This window comes from Homo sapiens, chromosome 12 (assembly GCF_000001405.40).
Source record: "Homo sapiens chromosome 12, GRCh38.p14 Primary Assembly".
In the NCBI taxonomy this organism is placed as follows: domain Eukaryota; kingdom Metazoa; phylum Chordata; class Mammalia; order Primates; family Hominidae; genus Homo; species Homo sapiens.
The window spans coordinates 78,929,834-78,952,690 of NC_000012.12; the positions used below are offsets into that span (position 1 = coordinate 78,929,834).

Below are 22,857 nucleotides of genomic sequence, written 5' to 3' on the forward strand. Positions count from 1 at the left end.
GATTTTATACTGACTTACAGATACTTATAATTGAGAAAGAATGTGGTGGGGGGAAGGGTGGTAGTGAGTAGGACCATTTGTAAAATGATGAGAACAAAATTCAATAAAGAAAGCTCATGTTTCTGTGAAGTGGGCTTTTTTAGATTACACTAATAAGTGAGATCTAAGAGGACAGAGGGGAGGAAGAGTTATGGAGAAAGAGGAGCTGTTGATCCAGGGATAAAATTTCAGTTAAACTGGAGGAATAAGTTTTAGTAATCTATTGCACTGCATAGTGACTACAGATAATAATAATGTACTATATATTTCAAAATTGCTTATAATAGATTTTAATGTCTTCACCACAAAAAATCAGTTGCTGAGGTGATGAATACATTAATTAGACTGGTTAAAACTTTCTGCAATGTATAGATGGATGAAAACATCACATTGTACCCTATAAATACACACAATTATTAATTGTCATTTAAAAATAAACCAATAGAAAAAGAAAGCTCATGTTGAAAATTGAAGGCAGAAAGGGAAGGAAAATACAATGCAAATATACTGTAATACATTTTCAATCAAAGTAAAATAGCTATTCAGTGCTGAAAGTAAGGAGAAAGGGAATTGAAGAAAAAGTAACAAAGAAAACAAAAAGTCAAAAGTTGGGAAAAAAAAATAGATGGAGTTAATGACTCAGAGATTTTTAGAAATAGCACCAAGCTGTGAAGCCCAAGAATGGTCATTCAATTTGGAAAGGATGATCGAAGCCTCAATCACTTTTGTAGATTGATAATGACAGGATTAAAATATTTTTAAAGATTTTCACCACTTCCCAACCTCCTCCATTGGGAGGTTGGGAAGTGGTGAAAACTTAAACATAACCAAGTGTTGCAAGCAAAATTTGATCTACTGAATGTAATGCAGCTCTTCATGGCTTCAGGTTACGTGAGCAACAGGTATAAGCTAAGCTTTAGAGTAATATACAGATTTGTAATCTTGTGCCAATTGCTTTTCTTCCTTAAGTCTCATTTTCCTCATCTGTTAAATGAGGTTAAAAATAATAGCTATTCCATAAGGCTGTCAGGAGGAAATAATGTGTTGCTATACCTAAGACTGAATAAATGGTAAATATTGTTGTAGTTGTTGGAAAATTCTCCAGGCATTGTGCATCGATGATTTAAGAAGTTAGATATTCAAGTCAGGCGCTGTGGCTCACGCGTGAAATCCCAGCTACTTGGGAGGCTGAGGCAGGAGAATCACTTGAACCCAGGAGGCGGAGGATGCAGTGAGCTGAGATCGCACCACTGCACTCCAGTCTGGGCAGCAAGAGTGAAAGTCTGTGGAAAGAAAGAAAGAAAGAAAAAGAAAGAAAGAAAGAAAGAAAGAAAGAAAGAAAGAAAGAAAGAAAGAAAGAAAGAAAGAAGGAAGGAAGGAAGGAAGGAAGGAAGGAAGGAAGGAAGGAAGGAAGGAAGGAAGGAAGGAAGGAAGGAGAGGGAGGGAGGGAGGGAGGGAGGGAGGGAAGGAAGGAAGGAAGGAAGGAAGGAAGGAAGGAAGGAAGGAAGGAAGGAAGGAAGGAAGGGAGGAGAGAGGAAGGAAGGAAGGAAGGAAGGAAGGAAAAGAAAGAAATAGAGAGAGAGAAAGAAAGAAAAAGAAAGAAAGAAAGAAAGAGAAAGAGTTAGGTAAATATTCAGAGAGCTTCCATCTGCCCATAGAATGCAGGACTTCAATTCGCATCTTGAGAACTGAAATTGGTTACTTAGAACTGAGTGAACAAGTGTGTAGGCATGATGTAGATTTATTTATTTTTCTCTCAGGAGTTATTTTAACAATTTTGTTTTGAGACTTCTAACAGACTTTCTGGAGCTCTCCTACCAGCTGCTATTGTTCTGTGTCCCTTGCTGGCAAGTACTGTCTTTCAATAGAGATGAGCCAATTTATTTGATGCTGCCTCTGGAGAAGAGAGAAGCCCTTTGGGTACAAAGTGTGCCTGTCATGCAGATGGCTTCTCTAATCTAATGAGGTAGAGAGCTGAGCAGTCAGGAGAGGAAGGAGTGTTGGTAAAAGCAGAGTCTGTTCTCTGCACCCACTTCTCCCATCTATATATGAATAGTTAGTACAAGAGCCACTTTCTACAAGAATCTTTAAACTTTGACATGACTATCCTAAAGATGAGCACATCTGAGTCTGTGCATGGCTGGTGTATCAGTGCAGTCTGTTTGGACAGCCACTTTCCTCTGCCACAAGGTGTGTTTCCTTTTTATTCTTCGTGACAGTTTGGCTTATAAAGTCTTCCCTTATTGATGCAATTGTGAGAGAATAAATTTCATTCTTCCCCTGAATCTGTAACATCTTTAGAATATAATCTGAATATCAAAATTTAGGTTTTTGGTTTGGTTTTGTTTAATTAATTCATTTAACCATAAATACTTCTGTAATGAGAAACCAATTGTAGCTTATAGAATAACCTGATAGTGGTGATGAGGGAGACATAAGCCTGCTGCCTTAATGCTTTCTGTGCCTCAGTTTCCTCATGCATATAAGTGGGAAATATGTCACTATCTTTTACTGGTTTCATAGGATTATATTCAGTGCCAGTTATATTTGTTCTAAAACACTTGGATAGTTATTTGTGCCTTCAAAATTATCTAATGTCATATGAAAATACAAATTTTGAAAGGATACTATTGCAATGAGCTGTCAGTTTTAAATATTTTGATTTGAATTTTATTGAAAAACCAAATTCCACCTTAGGTTTTCTATCTGAAATGTTTAAAATTTGTGTAAATATTAACATCACATGGAAATCATATTCTATTTAAATTTTTTGCCATCATTTATTTTTTATCTGACTCTCCTTGTAATTTTATTTTCAATTGCCTTCAGGGAACAATATGCAAACTCTTCGAGAACTCATTTAACTCTTGTCAATTTGTACCAATAAAAATCAAAGCTTATATAGTATTATGCAAATATTTTATTCACTTGGATAAGAGGGAGTCCATTCTACTAAGTCAGTTCTTGTATTAAAATAATTATTCATTTTGTTTCATCATTTCAATTATAGGCGCATAAATTCTTATATCTTGTCTCAAACACAAAATCTCAGAACGTCTTACTTTCATGCAAAAAAACTAAGTTCTAAAAAAGCAAATTTATATCACCTTAAGACGTCCAAAAGTATAAAGGTTATTGGACATCACTCCTGGTATCCTTGGAAATATTTGTTTGATTTTGAAGAAAGCCTCTAAGCAGTCAAGTTGAGTAATATTTTTAACTTACTCTTCTCGACTTTGAAAGAGTGCACCTGTGAAGAAATATCTAGGGCATAGATATTTCCTCATCTCTCTTTATCATCTTGCTTTCTACCATGTTGGTCTGCATATGGTTAGATGAATCTGTGTGACTAATACCAGGGCAATCTTGACCTCAGTGTATCAACTTCTGTGAGCCTGTCTTGTCTAAAATGAATTTGGCTGAGTTATAGAGCCTCTAAGAAACTCTTACCAGAGGAAGGAAGACAAAAGTTTGCGGTGGGAAAGTGAAGAGGTCAAAAAAGGAGCTAGAACTTACTAAATAAACATTTTAGCATATATTATCAATATAAGAGTAACCCAGGAAAATCATTGTTATGGCTTCTATATTCTTGAATTTAGTAGTAAAAATAATTTGATTTTGGCTTAAATGTAATGTTCTATTTCTTAAGGTCCTGTTTCTCAAGGTCCCATTTCTTTTCACTCTACTTGTCAAGTTCAAGACCATTTAAAAAATTAGTATTTTGCTAGTACAGTTTATTAATAACCATCTCATTTAAAAGATAGAGATATATGTCAGGTGCACTCAACTTTATGTTTCAGATCACCTTGGATACTGTTTTAGCATTAGTTTAATAATTTTTGATAATTCATCATAAACTTCCATCACAGATATTAGCATAAATTCTACAGGCCAATTTTTTTAATAAATCCTTGTTTTACCTCATCAAGAGAGAAATAAAGAGTGAGAGAAAAGTGAAAGAGAGATTGAGATGGGGTAGAATCCGATAACATTAAAATTTAAGGGAACATGCCTGCTTTGTGTGTTTGTCTGTTTGGTTATTTCCAGAAACATAGGAATCTCAGTAGGAGAAATTGAGTATAATGTTCTGTATTTAAGGGATGCAGTTTATATGTCTTTTTGGTCAATACAGTTATTCCCTTTATTCAGGGGGATATGTTCCAAGACCCCCAATGGATGCCTGAACCACAGATAGTAGTAAACCCTATATACACTGTTTTTACATATATATATGTGTGTATATACATATGTGTGTGTATATATGTGTGTGTGTGTATGTGCGTGTGTACACACACACACATACACACACACACACACACCATACCTGTTGATATGGTCTGGCTGTGTCCCCATCCAAATCTCACCTTGAATAACCGTCATGTGTCAAGGACAGGGCCAGGTGGAGATAATTGAATCACAGGGTGAATCACTTGAGTCAAGGAGTTCAAGACCAGCCTGGGCAACAGGGCAAAAACCTATCTCTACAAAAACAAACAAACAAACAAAACAAAACAATTAGCCAGGTGTGGTGGTGCACATCTGTAGTCTCAGCTACCCAGGAAGCTGAGATGGGAGGATCACCTGAGCCTGTGGGGTTGAGGCTGCAGTGAGCCATGATTGTGCCATTGCACTTTAGCCTGGATAATAGAGCAAGACTCTGTCTCAAAAAACAAACAAATAAAACGAAATAACAACAACAGAAAAAACACTTGTCTTACATCATGTCCGGAATTGAAAACACCTGTCACGCAGTCAAAAACTAGATTAATTTTCTATGTGGAATATAGAAAAAGAAAGAAGTTGAAGTGGAAAATCTGGAGCAAAATATTTATATTGAAATAAAATCTGAACATTTTTTTGAAAAGATACACTGAAATTTACTACACAAATAAGTCAAGGCTCTCTCTAAAGAATGTGGCATATAATTTTTGTCTTTAGAAAGTATTAGAAGCATGGTGATGGCTGCACGGCCTCCACATTCTCTGCGGGTAGATGAAATCTTGAATTTAGGAATTCAAGCAGATCGTGCTTTCTGCCCTTAGAGAAAAGGTATTACATGTTGGTAACTGAGGTATAAAATAACCAAAGCCCAGATCTCGTCTCGTGCTCCACGGAAATCATGCCTCGCCCGAGTCTATAATTGGCTGAATTCATTTCCAATGAATGAAATGCAAAAACATGGAAAAGACTAAAATTGAAATTTTATAATTTAAAAGATTTAAACTGTGAGGATGGTACATCCTTGACCTAGAGAATTTTGAATCTGTCTTTGGACAGGTGGGCAACCATAGGAAGCAAGTAGGTGTCTGGAGATGGCTGCAGAGACATCCCGTCCCCTCGGTAGCACTGATTGCATTTTCCATGAAGGTTGCTCTTAACTTCAAAGCAGACACTCTGCTGTGAAGGTTCTGAGAGGTTAGTTCTGGGTCTCGTTGTTTCAATTAATCATTTATTCAATTAATAAATTTTGAGCTCCTGCTGTGAATCAGGCAGTATGCTAGGCCCTGTGGCTACAATATAGGCATGGTTCATGTTTTCAGCAAACGACATTTTACTGCTTTGGTAAAAATAACAATTCATCAGAAGAAAGGCTATATACTAAGTTATAGAACAGAACAGAAGTAAGACCCTCCAAAAAGGAATGTGAATATACAAGAATGGATATGAATAATTTTCCAAATTATAGGTTCAGCTTGGGTAAAGAAAACTGTGGGATTAGTTACCCTTGCTTTATGCTGAGAACTAAGAAAAAATAAAATAAATAAAATAAAATAAAACCGTTCATGTTAATCCTTTCTAAGACAAACATGCTTTTATATTCTGATTTTAATTTTCCATTTGCCAATGAAAGGCTCTTAGATAGCAGTTAAAAGAAGTATATAAAAATTAAAACAAAAAAGAAATTATTCCTAGGTTACTAAGTATTTAAGAGCTACAAACATATATAAAAACTAAAAAATTTGTTGTAAAGTCATTTGAAAAGGAGTATACTTATCTGTAGCCACCTAAGCTATATCTTAGGGCAGAGTAAGCACAGCTTGATCATATAATCTGGAAACCAGAATTATGTTAGCCTCATAAAGTATTTCCAAGTACAAAGAGTTCATTTTCTTTGATAAAACAAAGGAGAGATACAGTAATCTTATAGCCAAGGCAAGCCTTTGGATATAAGATTTTTAAAAGCTTGGAGAAAATTATTTTATTATAATAAAATCAATTATTGAGATCCACTGTATTTATGTCACTTCTTTTAGAGTTACATAGAAATTTTAATCTTTGTCTACAAAGAATTACACTTTAAAGGAACAATTTCAGTGTAGGAAAGGTTAACCGATGAAAATATCATATATTTGGGAATGTTTGCTTAGATAAGGACATAGTATTCATTGTTTCCTCATTTGTAACATATGGTGGTTTAATCAGTATTATCTCTAAGTTTCCTGGTAACTTGAACACTAGGATTCTTTAAACCCTAAGGAATTAGAATTCAAATTATGACTTGTGTGCTTCCTACTATATAATTGAAAAGTTAAACCTTGCTTATTTACTGTTTCTTAAATCATTACATATGTGTTACGTCTTTTAAGCGGCTTTTAGTATAATTCTTGTAGATTGGCCTTGTAGGTATGCCTGTTTATTTTCTTTATTCTTTAAATTGGGTATTTATAGATAATTAGGAGGTAAGATTAATTACAATTTTTCCTTTAAAAACCTACTTTTATGTTCACTAATTAAAAAATGCATATTCTTTATTTCTTAGTATATGTAGACTATATTTTTCTGACTTTAACCGAGTTTGGCAATTTTGCATGAACAAGCAAGGGACACTTTATTCAAGACTATTGCAGTAGGAAAGGAAGGCCAGAATTCAGTCTGAGCTCAACTCCACTGAAATAAAAGGCAGAAATGTTCTTAAAAGCAGTGGTGGGGGAATGTTAAGCCATAGGTGTTTGTTAATTGTCTTTACCAAATGGAAAGGAAAACTTTCTCATATCTTCCAGGCAAGGGATGGCTTTGCAACTTGGAGCAAGGTACCCCTGAAACTTAGGCTTCTACCCTCCAAAAGACAGGGGAATAGGAGCTCTATCTTCCTTAATGATGACATTTCAAAAGGATGGCTCCCAGGTCCTTGAGAAAGACATTTCTGGTTATAAAACTGACAAGAAGCTTTTTTAAAGATTTACATTTCAAAGGAGGAAATATTTTGCAATTACAAGTTTTCTAAAGCAAATGCTCTAAGAAAAAAGAGATCAAGGGCCTAGAATCAGGAAGCAGCCTGTCTAAAATTTAGTCAAGCTGAGGGGAATGTTTAGTCCACCTTGGCCAATATATTAGCCTGTAATTTAACTTTTTTTTCGAGGTCCTGTGATTGTGGGCCTTCTGGGTATGACTCATTTGGACTCTTGGAGATAGGAGGAACAGTAGGGATGATGCTTTGGGTACTCTCCTTTACTCTGCTATCCACTATTTATTTCTTGAGAAGACTTTGTGGCCTTTAAATTCTATAAGTTGAGTAGAAATTAAATATTTATTCTGGTAACAAACAATGAAAATGTATCTTAAATCAGTGAGATTGCATAGAAGAGGATTATCATTGAAACACAATTATTAATAATATTTTTAGTACTTTTTTTAGACCGTAAACATGATGGGGAATAAAAAAGAGAGGTTGTTATATTACAAAGATAAATAAATTCAAATGTAAGTCAAGATAAGCAACTACTTAAATAGAATAGCCATATTCTTCTATTAGCTGCTTCTTACCTTCCAACTGAAGTTAAAAGAGAAACGGTGTTTATGTGTCATTTTAGTAAGAAGACTGTAATAATTACAAATTACTTTTTTCCTTCAGAATCTTCTCAACAAAAAGCCACAATTTCTGGAAAATTCTATAGTGTGCTATAATGCTGAAAATAATTCAGAATAAATTTGCTCATAAAAATGTCAGTAAGAAAAGCTAACTGGATAATTTTTATTTCTCTGAAAGCCAGAGCTCTCTAATATCTGCTTTTGGGATGCTGCTTAGGGTAATTAGGTATGATTTTCCAGTTACTTGGGGACGAGCAGATGTGACTGGTATTGCTGAGATCCTAATTTTATACTGCTAATGCAATGCTTACCATACAAAGGCATGTGAAGGTGAGACAGTTAAAAGTCGATGTAAAGACTGGAAACTGGGAGTCTTTGTACTATATTTAAAATAATTACAACTAGGGCTAAAAATAATTTTATCTTTGCATTTCTCTTTTTTCTTTGTTTTCATCCACCATTCCCATAGCACCTGAATTCTCAGGGTCCCTCCTCTCCCTTTCCACCCTTTTCCTTCTATTTCTTTCTCTTTTAACACAGCTTTTCTCCAGGAAAATAGGACACAGAAAGAACATCTACCTGCAAACAGCCATCAGCGAGTAAGTCCAGATCATGCCAGTATTCAGTAAGCCATGTCTGACAACTCACCCTTTCCTCTGAGTTTAATAGGATAAAGCTAGTAGTGGAATAGAAATTGAGAAATGTGGCTCTACTGATAAGGAAACCTTGTCATAAAGTATGAATTAGCAGCGGTTGAGCAGATTTACTTCAGGAGTGTTTCACTGCTATTATATTGCCTGTTTTATCCTTTGGCTTCTATGGACATATCATCTGAGATAATGACCCTCCATCTATTTGCACAGGTGCAAGTAAAAAGGTCCTAAAATGGACACACAAACTCACACACATGCACAAGTAAGCATGCCAAGCATACTAAATTACAGAAACGAATAACTCATCAATAAAGCAAATGTTATAAAGTCCTGTGACTCATCATTCATGATTTACTCATAACACAAATTAAAAAATAATTTTGAAATAAGTTGACAGATTGGACCAGAGGATAAATGTAGGCTATCCAGGAAGTATAACTCTGTACAGTAACACTAAAGGAACAGCTGCCGTCTTTGTGTAGCTCACACACAGTCTGCTTTTATAGACCCTAATGAGGACAAAACCGATTAGCAGATTAGAAATTGACAGAAATCAGAGACACTCTGCTTAAGAATCACTAAAGTTGGATAGTATTTCAACTAATGCTATTCTTTGTTCATCTAAAGATTTATGGAATGAGTGTCTTATGTATAAACATCTGCCTCTTCAGGGAAGCATCTGTCATGCAGCCACCAAATAACATGACAGAGGGGTACTGTGTGCATCTGAAGAGCCTTAAGATCTGTGGTATTGCCCAAGTTCCTACTGCAGATTAAAACTTTTAATCAGGTAGTTTTTAAAAAAAATAAAATAAACCTAGCTCATAAAATGAACTGTTGAATAGTTTAATGTAAAAGAAAGCATTTCAAAGGATATTTCATTTAAATGCAAATGTGGACTATGAGTTATTAAAGAGAATCGAGTTTTCATATTCTTGTTTTTCTAGACTCCTGGGATCAAAGTCACCTTTTGAACTTGCAAAGTAAGCTTCAAAACTTCTGTCTTACTGTTAGGATTTAAGTTTATTGTTTTCGCTATTAAAAGACAAATGCTATCTGAAGCTTTATCTGCAGCATTAATTGTCCCTTAAAGACAAGGGAACTGAATTAACAGGAGAAAGGGTAGGACTCTAGAACATTTAGGTCATGGCTTTGGAATCAGAGCTCTCAGCAGTTTCATGCTTTGTGGATAATTAAAATCAATACAAAATAATTACAGAACTAGAAGGATCTCCAGATACCTAATCCAGTCCCTTGTCTCCAGGAGAAACTAGATCTAGTTTAAACTAACTTCCACACAGATACTTGAGTTGTATGAGAGAAACTGGGACTCTAGATTCACTTTCTGCACTTACCAAGAATATTGCAAATGTGGCTTGGTAACCAGTGTTCAAAAAGAGATTATGGTTTTTATAAGCATGACATTGGCATCATGAAACTATCTTCTACAGTCTCAGATCAGCAATGGAAGGCAATGATGGCCAAAATAATATTCATCTTTCACACTACATTTATAGAGAAATTAGGGTTTCTGACAATGCCCTATCTGCTAGCTTGTCTTCTCATTTTTAGTGTATCCTGTCTTATCTTAAAAGTTTAGATTGGGTGCTACATCCTCCATGAAGCTTACCAATCTCAATTCTTATTGGTTATTTTCTTTTTGATTCCTTTATTTAATAAGACTTTAGGATATATACATAACTCTATAGTAAAAATATAGATGACCATATAAAGCAGCATTTGCCATCTCTCTACTTAAATGAAATGTGCTTAAATGCTAGTCCCTGGAGCCTAACAGAATACTCTTTACTTAGTCACTACTCAAAAAATGCTGGTTGATGATTTTTTTTTTCTAAATCTGGTTGAAATTAATTCTCTTTATTATTCTGTTCTCATGGAAGATGAGGACAAGAATGAGATGTATTGAGTCTCCTGATTTCAATTCCCTATTCCAACATTATATTTCTCTTTATACCATTCTTAATGCTCCTTTTTGTTATGAGCTCAAACATCAGAACAGAGTGAAACAAATATATCCAAGCTCCATTAACTCATTTCTTTAAGTAATTTTAAAGAGACAGTGACTTGCCTATTGCCCAGTCTACAGTGCAGTGGCCCAATCATGGCTTGCTGCAGCCTCAAACTCCTGAGCTCAAGTGATCCTCCTGCCTCAGCCTCCTGAGTAGCTGGGACAACAGGAGACTGCCACCATGCACAGCTGATTTTTTTTTTAATTTTTTGTAGAGATGGGGCTATGTTGCTCAGGCTGGTCTTGAACTCTTGGCCTCAAGCATCCTCCTGCCTCAGCCTCCCAAAGTGCTGGGGTTACCAGCATGAAACACTGCACCTAGTCACTTTAAGTAAAATTTAATGTGACAAAATTACTTTGCAACATAAATTTCTGGATGACTCCTTGGAGTTTAGTTTTATTTTTAGATACATTTTCTTCCTAAAGAAAAGGGGCATGGTTATCAAAGCATTTTGTAAATCAGTAGAATTCAACATGCCTAAGGTAAGGTGTCGAGTTAGATTAGTGGACTAGTACAACAATACTTTCTGTTTCAGAAAGGTCAACATTGAAAACGTATGTGTGTCTGCATTACTGAATTGAATTGGCGAAGTTGAATATTTAATTGTGTGCTCTGTGAGAATAACTGCAGTGAGATACATGTCCTTTAGAGCATTTCTTTTTTTCTTTTTCTTTTCTTTACTTTTTTTTTCTTTTTTTTTCTTTTTTTTTTTTTTTTTTGAGATGGAGTCTCGCTCTGTCGCCCAGGTGGAGTGCAGTGGCACAGTGGCGCCATCTCCTCTCACTGCAAGCTCTGCCTCCCCAGTTCACGCCATTCTTCTGCCTCAGCCTCCCCAGTAGCTGGGATTACAGGCGCCTGCCACCACGCCTGGCTAAGTTTTTATATTTTTAGTAGAGATGGGGTTTCACTGTGTTAGCCAGGATGGTCTCGATCTCCTGACCTCGTGATCCGCCTGCCTCAGCCTCCCAAAGTGCTGGGATTACAGGCGTGAGTCACCGCACCCAGCCTAGAACATTTCTTAATAGAATCTACACACACACACACACACACACACACACACACACACACACATTATGTAATACTTTAGAAGAAAAAGATGGATCATTTTCATTGTTAGAGAAAGTCTTAGGAAAATTTTATATTTTACATCTACTGCATGCTTTGCAAAAATAGAAGAGAGCTTTTAATCAATAGTAACATTAGGCAGCTATATGGAATTGCATCCTATTTCACTGAATCTTGTCATTCTTGACTACTGGTCAAAATGAAAGACTGCTATTACACTATTACAGGAAATGTTTCCCATTGATTGTTATTTCTACAACCAACAGTCTCCACCATACTTTTCTATATTCTCTGATCCACATCTTACATTTCTTTATAAATGCTTCTTCTTCCTCCTTGAGCTAATAGACACCTGGTCAGTTCACCTGCCAAAAACACAAGGCATCCCAAGTGAGGCTATTCATTTCATTACACCAGTTGGGGGTGAAAAGAGAGGGAAGGGCTGAAAATAGGGATGACATTCTCCTCAGTTTCCATTGCCATTCAAGGACCATCACTTTCCTCTTATGTAAAACCTTTCCTCTGCACACACATCCCAGCACTGTCTTCTAATCATTGAGGACACTGGCATCTGGCTTACTATTTTCCTTTTGGCCTCTTTTGTACAACTTCATTGTCTTTGTGGAGAACCCTTCAATATGCCAACCTCCTCTACTGACATTCCATTCAGCAAACATCGTCAAACCTGAGGTCCAAAGAAAAGAATTAACCTTCATTTGATTCCTTATTAAAATCTCTCTCTCCATTCAAGCTTTATGTCCTTTAACTCTTTATGTCCTTTAAAATTATTCATTGAATCCTCCAAAACAACACATTACTGCAGACAATGACTGCTTCCCATGATCACATGTTCAATCTTCTTATCCAGGCATTCAATGACCTTCAAGATTGGTTCTTAACCTTTGTCTCTAGACATTTTTTAATTACTTGCACATAATTATAACTAATCCAACGATTCTCCAAATATGCCTAACTTTTCAGACTCCAAATCTTTCTCATGGCCTCTCTCCATCTTTCCAATTCTCTTCCTCCCCAACAACCCCAAATAATCATCCCCTTTAAAGCCCAAATTTCCAGGCATTCCATGACCTTTCCATGTCAAAGCGTCCATGTCCTTCTCTGAACTTCTGCAGAATTGTGTCCCACTGTCTGAAAGCATTTACTTTCTTGCTCTGTGGTTACCTATATATTTATCTAAGTCTCCTTAACTACTTGGAAGGTAGTACCAGCTTACTGTATTAGTAAAATAGGGTATTAGTTCAGTCTCTGGTTCTAATTAGTTCTTCTGACTTATCTCGCCATCCGTATGAACAACAGTTGTAAAATATATTGCCTGGAACCAGCTTCCACTTTTCCTGTACTTCCAGGCTGAGCCGAGGGTCGACAGAAAGGAAAGCCATTCAGCTCTGGGGTCCCGACAAGTTGGTTGACCCTGCAGCCATGAGCGGAACTCTCAAAGTCATGTCACCCAAGTGAGACCATGCAAAGATAACTGGTTACAGTGCTTTGAGTTCTGTATGTGTTCTATGAAATCATCAGTAAAACTGACCAGGGCTTTCCTATGTTTATATTTTCCACATCACTCTCTGTATAGTAGTCTAATAATAGTAAATATTCAATGAGTATTCATTGACTAAGAAGAAGATATTTACTACATTCTTTTGTATAGAGCACAATAATTTATAAGGGGTTTCTAATCCATTCAAGTGGCTAGTTCTTCGGTCATCTATTACTTCTTTTATCCCATCTGTGGTTGGAATTTCTCATGGAGTCTCATTGTGTTAGGCTGTTCTTGCATTGCTATAAAGAAGAACCTGATAGTGGGTAATTTATAAAGAAAAGAATTTAATAGGTTCATGGGCCCGCAGGCTTTATAAGAAGCATGGTCTTGGCATCTGCACAGCTTCTGGGGAGGCCTCAGGAAGCTTACAATCATGGCAGATTACAAAAGGGGAGCAGGCACCTCACATGGTCAGAGCAGGAGCAAGAGGTGAGGGGCAAGGGAGGTGCCACAAGCTTCTAAACAAATAGATTTCTTATGAACTCATTCACTAGCTTGAGGACAATACCAAGGACATGGTGCTAAACCATTCATAAGAAATCTGCCCCCATGATCTAGTCATCTCCCACCAGGCCCCCTCTTTAACACTGGGGATTATAATTCAACATGAGATTTGGCAGGGACATATATTCAAACTATATCACCCATCTCACAGGCCACAGCTTTAGCCTATGTCGAATACTAAAACTAGTAGAAAAAGCATGGCATGTCAGATTTGGCAAAACAGATTTTTAAGTAATAGTGACAAGTCATACCATGTTACAATGCCATGATTGCTTTGAAAATACTTTGCAAAACTTCTCAACTACAATTCATCATATGGTTCTTGTACCTTGACAATATTTCCCTGATAAAATGACATAAAATTGGCATTGTTACTCACCATTGACAAGACTGCATCACATGATCCATCTGGCTTGAACCTCATACTAAGTCAGAAGTTACAACTTCTTCCTGTTGAATTAGTTGCATATTATCACTAATTTTGCATAATTATATGTGTTTCTTTGAATGATGATATCTCATAAACATTGCAATTTATATCTTTCAGAAACTTATACCTTTTGGTTGTATATATTGATAAATAATATTTAAAATTAGTTTATTCTTATAAAGATTTCAGAATTTTAAAAATCTCTGGGAAGGAATATACGCTAAAAGATGCTTAATGTTCAGTGTAGCTGAAACATATACTTAGAGGAAGGTTTTTCTTTTTAAACAGTTAAATAATGGTAAATTGGCAAGTACCATGCCAATCCCCCTTCTTGCCATGTGTAGTACAGCAGTGGTGATAATGTTAGCGATTAGAGATATTAATTTTATTTATCTTTTTTCCTGGAGATAAAGGCTTAGTAAAAGATGAAAATATTTCTTATAAGTAAGTTACTACAAACAACTTAGTTTCTATTTAAAAAGTGGAAAAAGCTTCTAACTCAGCCTCAGGACATTAATTTTATTTGTGTACCATCTAATATTTGTAAGTGGACTTCATTTTATCTTGGGAGTTCAGAATGCAAATACAAAAAAAAACTCCTGGGGGGAAATGCAGTTATTAAAAACTCCCTTAGAGAATTATTCAAAAGACAGGTTACTTTATTTACTTCAATAAATAAAGTAAAAGAATATTGTGATCACAACATGAAAGAATGAAATTAATCTGTATTTGTTACAGAACAGAAATAAAATTAAGTTGTAATTAATTCAAAACAGAAATATGCCTTATTTGTAATTACCTTATTTGTGACAGCATTTAATTATTCCTTTAAATACAATTTTGGAGAAACTAAAATTTTTGACTAAATTTTGATTTTAATCAACACACACACACACAGTGTAGTCTTATGTCATAATAACTGAGATTAATATCCAGTATGCAAAATACTTGAGATTAATGTAGAATAATTTTGAAGCAAAAATGTTTTTCCCTCAGATGTGGGACATGATTCAGCATTTGATACTTAAATTTCCTTTGAAATGTTGCAGAGACAAACTGTACTCAAACTCAAATAAGAGCAATTTCCATTATTACATACCAATCCTGGAAATGTGTGTGAGAATGACAACTTCAATCACCACCACATCAGTTTGCCTTCCTTGTCGATTTCTTAGTAAAACCAGTTTAAAAGAATGTGTAGCCACAGGTGTGTATAGACAAAACTGAACTTATAAATAACACAGCAATTCAGCTGTTTTTTTGTTTCAGAATAAATAAGTAATTATTTCATTTTTACAAATTATTTCTAAACTTTAAAAATATAAATGCACCTTAACTTGATTTTTTTTCTTACCTGAGCATCTGTGAATGATTAATTGGATTTTTAGCCTAAGATATTCTTTCATGTATGATTTTCTTTGTAGGAACTTATAAAGCTATGCACACATATATATAATATTACACATATGATATGCATATGTTATACATATGCATATATGTACATAATATATTCATACATATTTTACATTTATATTATGTGTGTCTATATATATATATATATATACACATTTCTTTCTTTCTTTCTTTATAAAATTACACAATTTTAGGTTAACCAATGATGTGATTAGGCAAATGTTTTCAAGCCAAACCTCCCTCCTCTGTTCAGAAAATGAGATTAGCAGTGCTTATATGACACACTCCTTGAATCATCAGTCTTTGGTGCTAATTTAGTCAAATTAGGGTTATGCTTCTTTACTAATGTAGATTTTGACAATGTAATCCAAAGACATGAATCTCGTAATATTAATGGGAAGTCACTTCCATTTGTAGAGAGAGTAAAGAATGGACAATTGTGCCCGGTCCACCCTTATTCAGTCCCTGATCCTCAACCCCATAGCCAACATGCCTCACACATATCCTACCTATAATCGAAGGCAGCCCTTCTTGGTTTTACCACTTTTTCTAAGATTCTTTAGCCTTGTAGAAGAAGGTTTAAGGGGGAAATAAAAGAAGTCTAGTTCAAAATATCCAGTTTCCTCTTCAATGGCACCACTCAACCTAATACTGTTCAAAGAAAAATTCAGGACCTTTTCTTTCAAGCAGTAACATCCATGAGAAAATTTTAGGCTATAACACAGTGATAATATTGCAGCTGATTAATAACACACAAATAGTTATATATTAGAGAATTCTTAAATAAAACTCCTTTGTTTTTATTTCAATAAAATGTCTTTTTAAAAACATTTAAAATCTGAAGTAAACATTTCCAAAAGATCATCTCTTCCAATGAGGGAACAGGTTTATTCAGGCCTCAAGAATTTGAGGGGCATCTGGTGAATGCCAGGTGTCTTCTAACTGAAGATACAGCAGGAAACAAGAAAGACAAATGTCTTGTCTTTGAGAAGCTTATGTTCTAGTCATACGTAATGGATAAAAGCTTGTATTTATGGCTGGGCACAGTGGCTCACACCTCTAATCCCAGCACTTTGGGATGCCTAGGCGGGTGGATCACTTGAGGTCAGGAGTTCAAGACCAGCCTGGCCAACAAGGCAAAACTGCATCTTTACTAAAAATACAGAAATTAGCCAGGTGTGGTGGCACACACCTGCAATCCCAGCTACTCAGGAGGCTGAGGCAGGATAATCATTTGAACCCGGGAGGCAGAGGCAGGAGAATCGCTTGAACCTGGGAGGCAGAGGTTGCTGTGAACCAAGATCGTGCCACTGCACTTCAGCCTAACAGCCTAAGTGACAGAGTAAGACTCTGTCAAAAAAAAGAAAAAAAAAGAAAAAGAAAAGAAAAAGCATGTATTTATAAAACCTGGAGCAATTCTTAAACCCACTAAACTCAGTAAATCTATAGTGCCTATAACATTATACTAAATAAGTAATAAATACTTTTCTGATGATACACGTACTCACCAAATGTAATGACCAGAGAAGATATGTTTTTAGCTAAAATATCCTAGCTTTGGGATGAACAGTAGGAGCACTGGATTGGATCAGAATGCAGTATACACATATTTATTTCTTATGAGTCTGCCTCTTAGTAAAAAGTGTATTTTATACCTCTCTGTTTTCAAAAACACACCAAAACCCAAGTTTTGTTTCCTCAAATGTTTAATGACATTTATTTATTGTATCTGAATGATTTATTATGATATTGTGATACAGCATCACTTAAGGTTGTTTGGATTTTTAAAAGCTATTCCCAAAAGATTTGCAACTACTTTCCCCTGCTATCTTGGTTGCTTCCTGTTCTCACAGAAATGTGAATGATGTCCCTCATGTATTGCTTATTTCTTGAGCTTTTAGGTACAACTTGGCAAATATACCAAATGATAGAGAGGAAAAATGAAGGTATTTTTACATTGAAAATTTTTCACTGGCAAAGCTCTTTTCCTGAAGGAAACATCACTCATGTTTAGGCTAGATTATGTGCGCATCGTGACCTAGAATTGGAAACCCAGTGGCTACTGAACTGGGGGCTCCTCTAAAGCCAAACCAAACCATTTGAGCAAGAACTATGGACTATTCATACAGTTTATCAAATTTAGCCAGATGACAGAGACAGTGTCTGACAAAAGGTTGAATCTAGTAAAAAAAAAAAAAAAATTCACTTAGGATAAAATGTCTAATGGAGATTAAAACTTTAAAATATGTACTAAATTGGTGTTCCCCAGGCTGTTCATATTCTCAGTGCCTACAGAATACAGAAAAGCTAGAAATAGCTAATGTAGCTTTGGAGGATAACAGAAATTTTGTTTGGTTTTGTTCCTATGTTTTCTTCAAAATGTTGTTATTCTTTATATAACTATTTAGGTTATTTTAATTGGTTTAAAAAAGCTCGAGTCTATTCCAGGAGGGATTGTTTAAAAAAAAAAGATAGAATTTAAAAAGGTTGAGTCTCTACATGGATGAGAAAAAAAAAGCCAATATAAGTCTTTTATATAAACCAATCTCTTAAAACATTTTAATAAATATTTTATTTTAATCTATTAAAATCCCTTCATAGCCCACTAACATTCTAAAATACCAGCTATAGATTTCAAGTTCATTTTTTAGAACTTTGAAAGAAAAATAGATATATTGCATAAGAAAGGTGATGAACTTAATAATAGTTATGGAAAAAGATACAAATATAACAATGAAAGGTCCTGCAGATTAATTTAACCATTTAATTAAGAAAAAGAGAGCACTATTACTTAGGTAATTTTTTAAAGTCAATATTACTATAACTCAGTATATTAAAGGCTTTCAAAATGAAGGAATTAGTCATGGAATAGTGTTTTGTATAATTAATGACATATTTAACTTTTTCATTTAGTCATATTGCTATCTTTACTCCTAATCAAAATGCAATTTACAGAATGTATTATTTCATCGAGAAATTAACAGCTGGCTTGTAAGAAACATTTAAGTTAGGTTAATTACTGCCTTTTAAATTTGTATAATATACTGTGACAGAAAATTAATGATGCTCACACTATTTAGCATAGTTCATAACCCATATTTTAATGAAAATATACTATTATTAGTGATATACATGATACAGATATAATACACTCTAATTGCTGGTCATTTTATGTCTGTTCTATATAATTCTATAAAATGAAGCCATATTCATTCTGCTTATTAATTTAGACTTCACAGATAAAAATTTGCATTTAATATATTCATGTGTATATTGGATTATGTGAATTTTATTAACCTAAGGCATGACAAGTGGGGTTTGACTGACAGTTTCTCAAGATTCTAATCTGGTCAAGAATTCATTTTCCTTTCATCTTATCACAGACATATGAAAATCTTAAACTGAACACGTTAGCATTTTAAGTAGTATCCATTTTCTTCCTGTGCACTGTGCCAAAAGTGAGATAACTACTTGCATAGTGTCCATGGAGAGGTGTTTCCATAACATGCCCTGATAATAAATTTGTGACAACTCCAGTTCTGCTGTCTCAAATGTAAGTTTCTTACAGAAGCCTAAGTTAAAATCTCTTTCTTTTTCTGTAGCAAAAATCAAGGCCTATTATATTATATTATATTATATTATATTATATTATATTATATTACATTATCAACTACCAAATTTAGGTTTCTTGAATTGGGTCACTGCTTTCTTTAGTCATACTAAGTTCAGTGATCGTCTTTATGCCAGTTGCTAGTGATTGGCTATAGGACTTCTCCAAACAAGGACTACAATTATAGGAAAGAAATGGTATACCTCTGAGCTAATATGAGAACACATATTTTTTGAACCATAGGCAAAAAATACTAGAAAAAGTGCCATTGTAGTTGTACCATAGAACATAATTTTAGAAATATAGGACTCCCGTGAAATACTTGAAGAAAATTTGATAAATATATTGCATGAATAGTCAAGATGGCTATATTAAAATGGGTGTGAAATAAAGTTTTATTACTTTTTTAAAGTAATACCAACTAACTTCTGTGCAGGTCAATGATAACGAGTAAAATATGTCTACTGGTTTCAAGATATTTCCAAGAAAGTTTAGAAGATGTGAGTTCTCACAAGACAATATAGCTCATTAAAAAAAAAAAAACCTTAAATAATATCCAGTTTAAGAGATTTCAAATACCATTGCATTTATAATTCACTTTGAAGTATCTATATTCCAGAAAATCACTGACAATGGCAAATGTTTCTGAGTCATTGCTATAGAAAATATCCAAGATGGGTTATTGCAGACATAAAACTTCCCCTAAAAGAAGAGAATTCAAAGGAGGCAAGTAACAAAATTTATTTTTGAGTGAGAAAATATGACAGATTTTCAAATCTCTCATTTTGGCTTATTCAGCATATTGAGAAAGAAGCATATCAGAGAAACAGAGAAGCCACAGAGGATAGTAGGGCAGTTCCATCCCATTAGGGTGAAAGGACAAACAGGAAAAATGTGAAACTGGGCAACCTAAATTCTATTGGATTATCTGAACTATGAAAACCTTTAAGATATGCATTTCTAACTGAACAGGAAGAGTAAATAAATAATATAATAAATGTTTGTACATAGCAGCAGAATAACTTTTTTTCACAAGTTACAAATATTTTAGCATTTTTCTGTTAACCCACAATTCTCCAATTATTTTTTCAAAAACACAAAGAAAGTAAAAGCCTCCCTGGAATTATTACTATATACTCTAAAAGTAACTGCAATAATCAGTTTGGTGTAAATCCCTTCAGACTTTTGGTAGTGCATGAATATGTATTTTTGCATTAATGACATTTTCCTATAACATTTTGCTATAGACTAGATTTTCATTCAGTCATGAGGCATAAGCATTTTATATCATTACATATGAACCTACCTTATAATTTTGTCACTACAGTGTTTAATTAAATAACTGCATCATAATTCAATTGAATAATCCTTTTTGAAGTATCTTTTTAATACAGTAATATAAGCCATCATGCAACATATGTAAATGAACAATCATGCAACACACACACTTCTAGTGGAATTTACATTTTTACACAGTTTCTAATAAGCCTCTGTGATATGAGGGGACCAGTTTCTGTGGAATATATAGGAACTGCCAGGGACTTTTTCATATATAATTTCATAAAATCAAAACATTTGTTTGTAGAAATTGTGAGCATTGTTTTACAGTAGAAGACAATATGTTTCAAAGAAGTTGAAAAGTTTGTTGAAAGACACATACATAATATACGGCAAAACAAATCTTCAAAATCAGTTGTGTTTGGATGATTCCTTGGTCATTCCAGGTCAACAAACTGCAGGAAAGGCACTTTAAATGTATGTATATTTATTTGATTAGATCATGCTTTTTTAATCAGATGGTTTGAGTCTCAAACTGTTTTCCTTAACCACAAATCTCTGATTTGCTTTTCTAAACAGCACAAAAATTGTGCTGTTCTGATTTTCACCTAACATCCTTAACAGGAAACCTGGCTGTTCAGACAAAAATGGAGTTGCCATAGTGCTCTAGCCAAAAGTATCAGCTCAAAAATTGTCTCAGCAGGAATGATGGGTTTCTATATTTCTACATTTTAAATACAAATTGACATCACCCATGGACATCAAAAATAAAATTTTCCCATCTGGTGCATATTATAGTATATTGGAACTAATTGGTTTGGTTGGAAAATGAGGCAATCCTCTACATAAATGAACGTATGTATTCTCTCCAGAGTGATAGTCAAGTCCAAACTCTCAGTATATGGACTAAATCTTTTTTCCTAATTCAGTAATCCCATTGCTTTCATAATAAATCCTTACTTGTAACTTTTTAAACAACTATTTTCTTTTCTTTTGAGTAAAAAGCGTTCTTTACCTCCTAATACGTCAGTCTATTATGGGATCAGGAAGTCATCTATTTATTTATTAAACAAAACTTATGAAACAATTATTATTTCCTAGATTTATGCTAGACTCTAGGGATATAAAAACAAATTACACATAGAATCAATATCTTCACGTAGTAGTTACCAATATAGTAGGTAGGAAAGTTATATGGGCAAGGAATTGTTATAATGTCGACTATAAGGTGAAAATATAGTCCAAAGTTCATTTTGAGTTATAATACAGAAGACATATGAACACCAGTGTAATTTTGGTTTCCAGGACAACATTAATATGGTATCTAATAACATAAAAATGTTAAAGTAATTGGAATACTCCAAGGTGGGAGAAATGTACCATTTAATATGTGATGTCAATGTGTAATTATGCAAAGAAATACAATGCCTGGTTAACAGTAATTTAAAACTCTCCTAGTCTGTATTTTGAGTCAGTACAGTGAACAAGTTAGTCAACCTACCAGTGAGCATGTTAAAAGCCAGATGAATGACCAGATTTTTTTGTTCACCTGAGTGGGTATTTTGCCATTGTCTAATCGCAACCTCCGTGCAGCTCCCAGTGATTTGGCTACGTGAGTGCTTTCTGGAGCTTATGTGTCATTCAGGGCATCTCTGGCGTCTGCACTTCTGTCTGTTCTAATGACCACACTCAGCAAGCTCCAGCTTTCGAAGGAGACTCCACTAATTAGCTTAGTCGGCATAGCATCTGGTAACTGGTTGGTGGGATAAACAGAAAAGACTCCCGAAGTGAAGGATGGAAAAATGAATTCTCCAGGCCATGAAGAGCAAAATGAAATTATGAGCATACAACCCAAAACCATGAAGAAGCTTGATCATTTACATTAGCCGCATCTGTAACATTGCCTGGCACGAAATCCTGGGCCAAAATGGAGATAATTGGAATTATGCAATACTCAGCGCTTCAGTTTGGCATCAGTTTCATAATATAATAAAACTTATCATTTGTAAGCCTGTCTGCTTTTTCAAAAAAAGACCTAGAACAATTTGATCTGTCCTGCTACAGCAGACACTGATGCAGGTGGTTTAAAAACAAAGCATTTAATCAGGCAGGGTTTTACTTAAACTACTTGATGATTCATCATCCAGCCTCTGCTCATTGTCAATTGTGCCTCTCTGAGCTATTATTTATAGAATATTTAAAGAGCCTGGACTGCATGTGCCTCTGTCTTGGGTTCTATTGTACTATAAATTATAGGTCCAGTTTGTTTCAAATTCGGCATGGACTGTCAGGATACCATGACTCATCCTCTGTTCAGATGAATACTGTATATGGCTAAAGCAAAAAGTACTGTTGTTACTATTAATTTATAGGTAATTCTGGAATATTCCTAGACTACAGTTTTGTCATGTTTTAGGTCCACAGAATCACTCTATTCCTACATTCCCCTATGTTCTTCTTTCCAC

The 22,857-nt window shown here is 34.7% G+C and overlaps 1 protein-coding gene and 1 long non-coding RNA gene across 16 annotated transcripts in view; one reads left to right on the forward strand and one right to left on the reverse strand.

Moving 5' to 3' along the window:
- Nucleotides 1-22,857, forward strand: part of SYT1 (synaptotagmin 1) — a 588,027-nt gene that overhangs the window by 65,852 nt on the left and 499,318 nt on the right. For 3 of the 14 annotated variants that reach the window (XM_047429479.1, XM_047429484.1, XM_047429480.1), the window contains exon 1: nucleotides 1-9,484. This exon is cut by the window's left edge and continues 35,467 nt beyond it. The exons of 9 other annotated variants lie outside the window; for them this stretch is intronic. The gene's annotated coding sequence lies outside the window, so the exon portion shown is untranslated. The remainder of the gene's footprint in view (nucleotides 9,485-22,857) is intronic. 2 more of the 14 variants (XM_047429482.1, XM_047429481.1) reach the window with 2 other exon arrangements.
- LOC105369863 (uncharacterized) overlaps nucleotides 1-22,857 on the reverse strand; it is a 197,856-nt gene that overhangs the window by 24,810 nt on the left and 150,189 nt on the right. For both annotated transcript variants that reach the window (XR_007063385.1, XR_007063384.1), the window contains one exon: nucleotides 14,041-14,111. This is a non-coding gene — a long non-coding RNA (uncharacterized LOC105369863). The remainder of the gene's footprint in view (nucleotides 1-14,040; nucleotides 14,112-22,857) is intronic.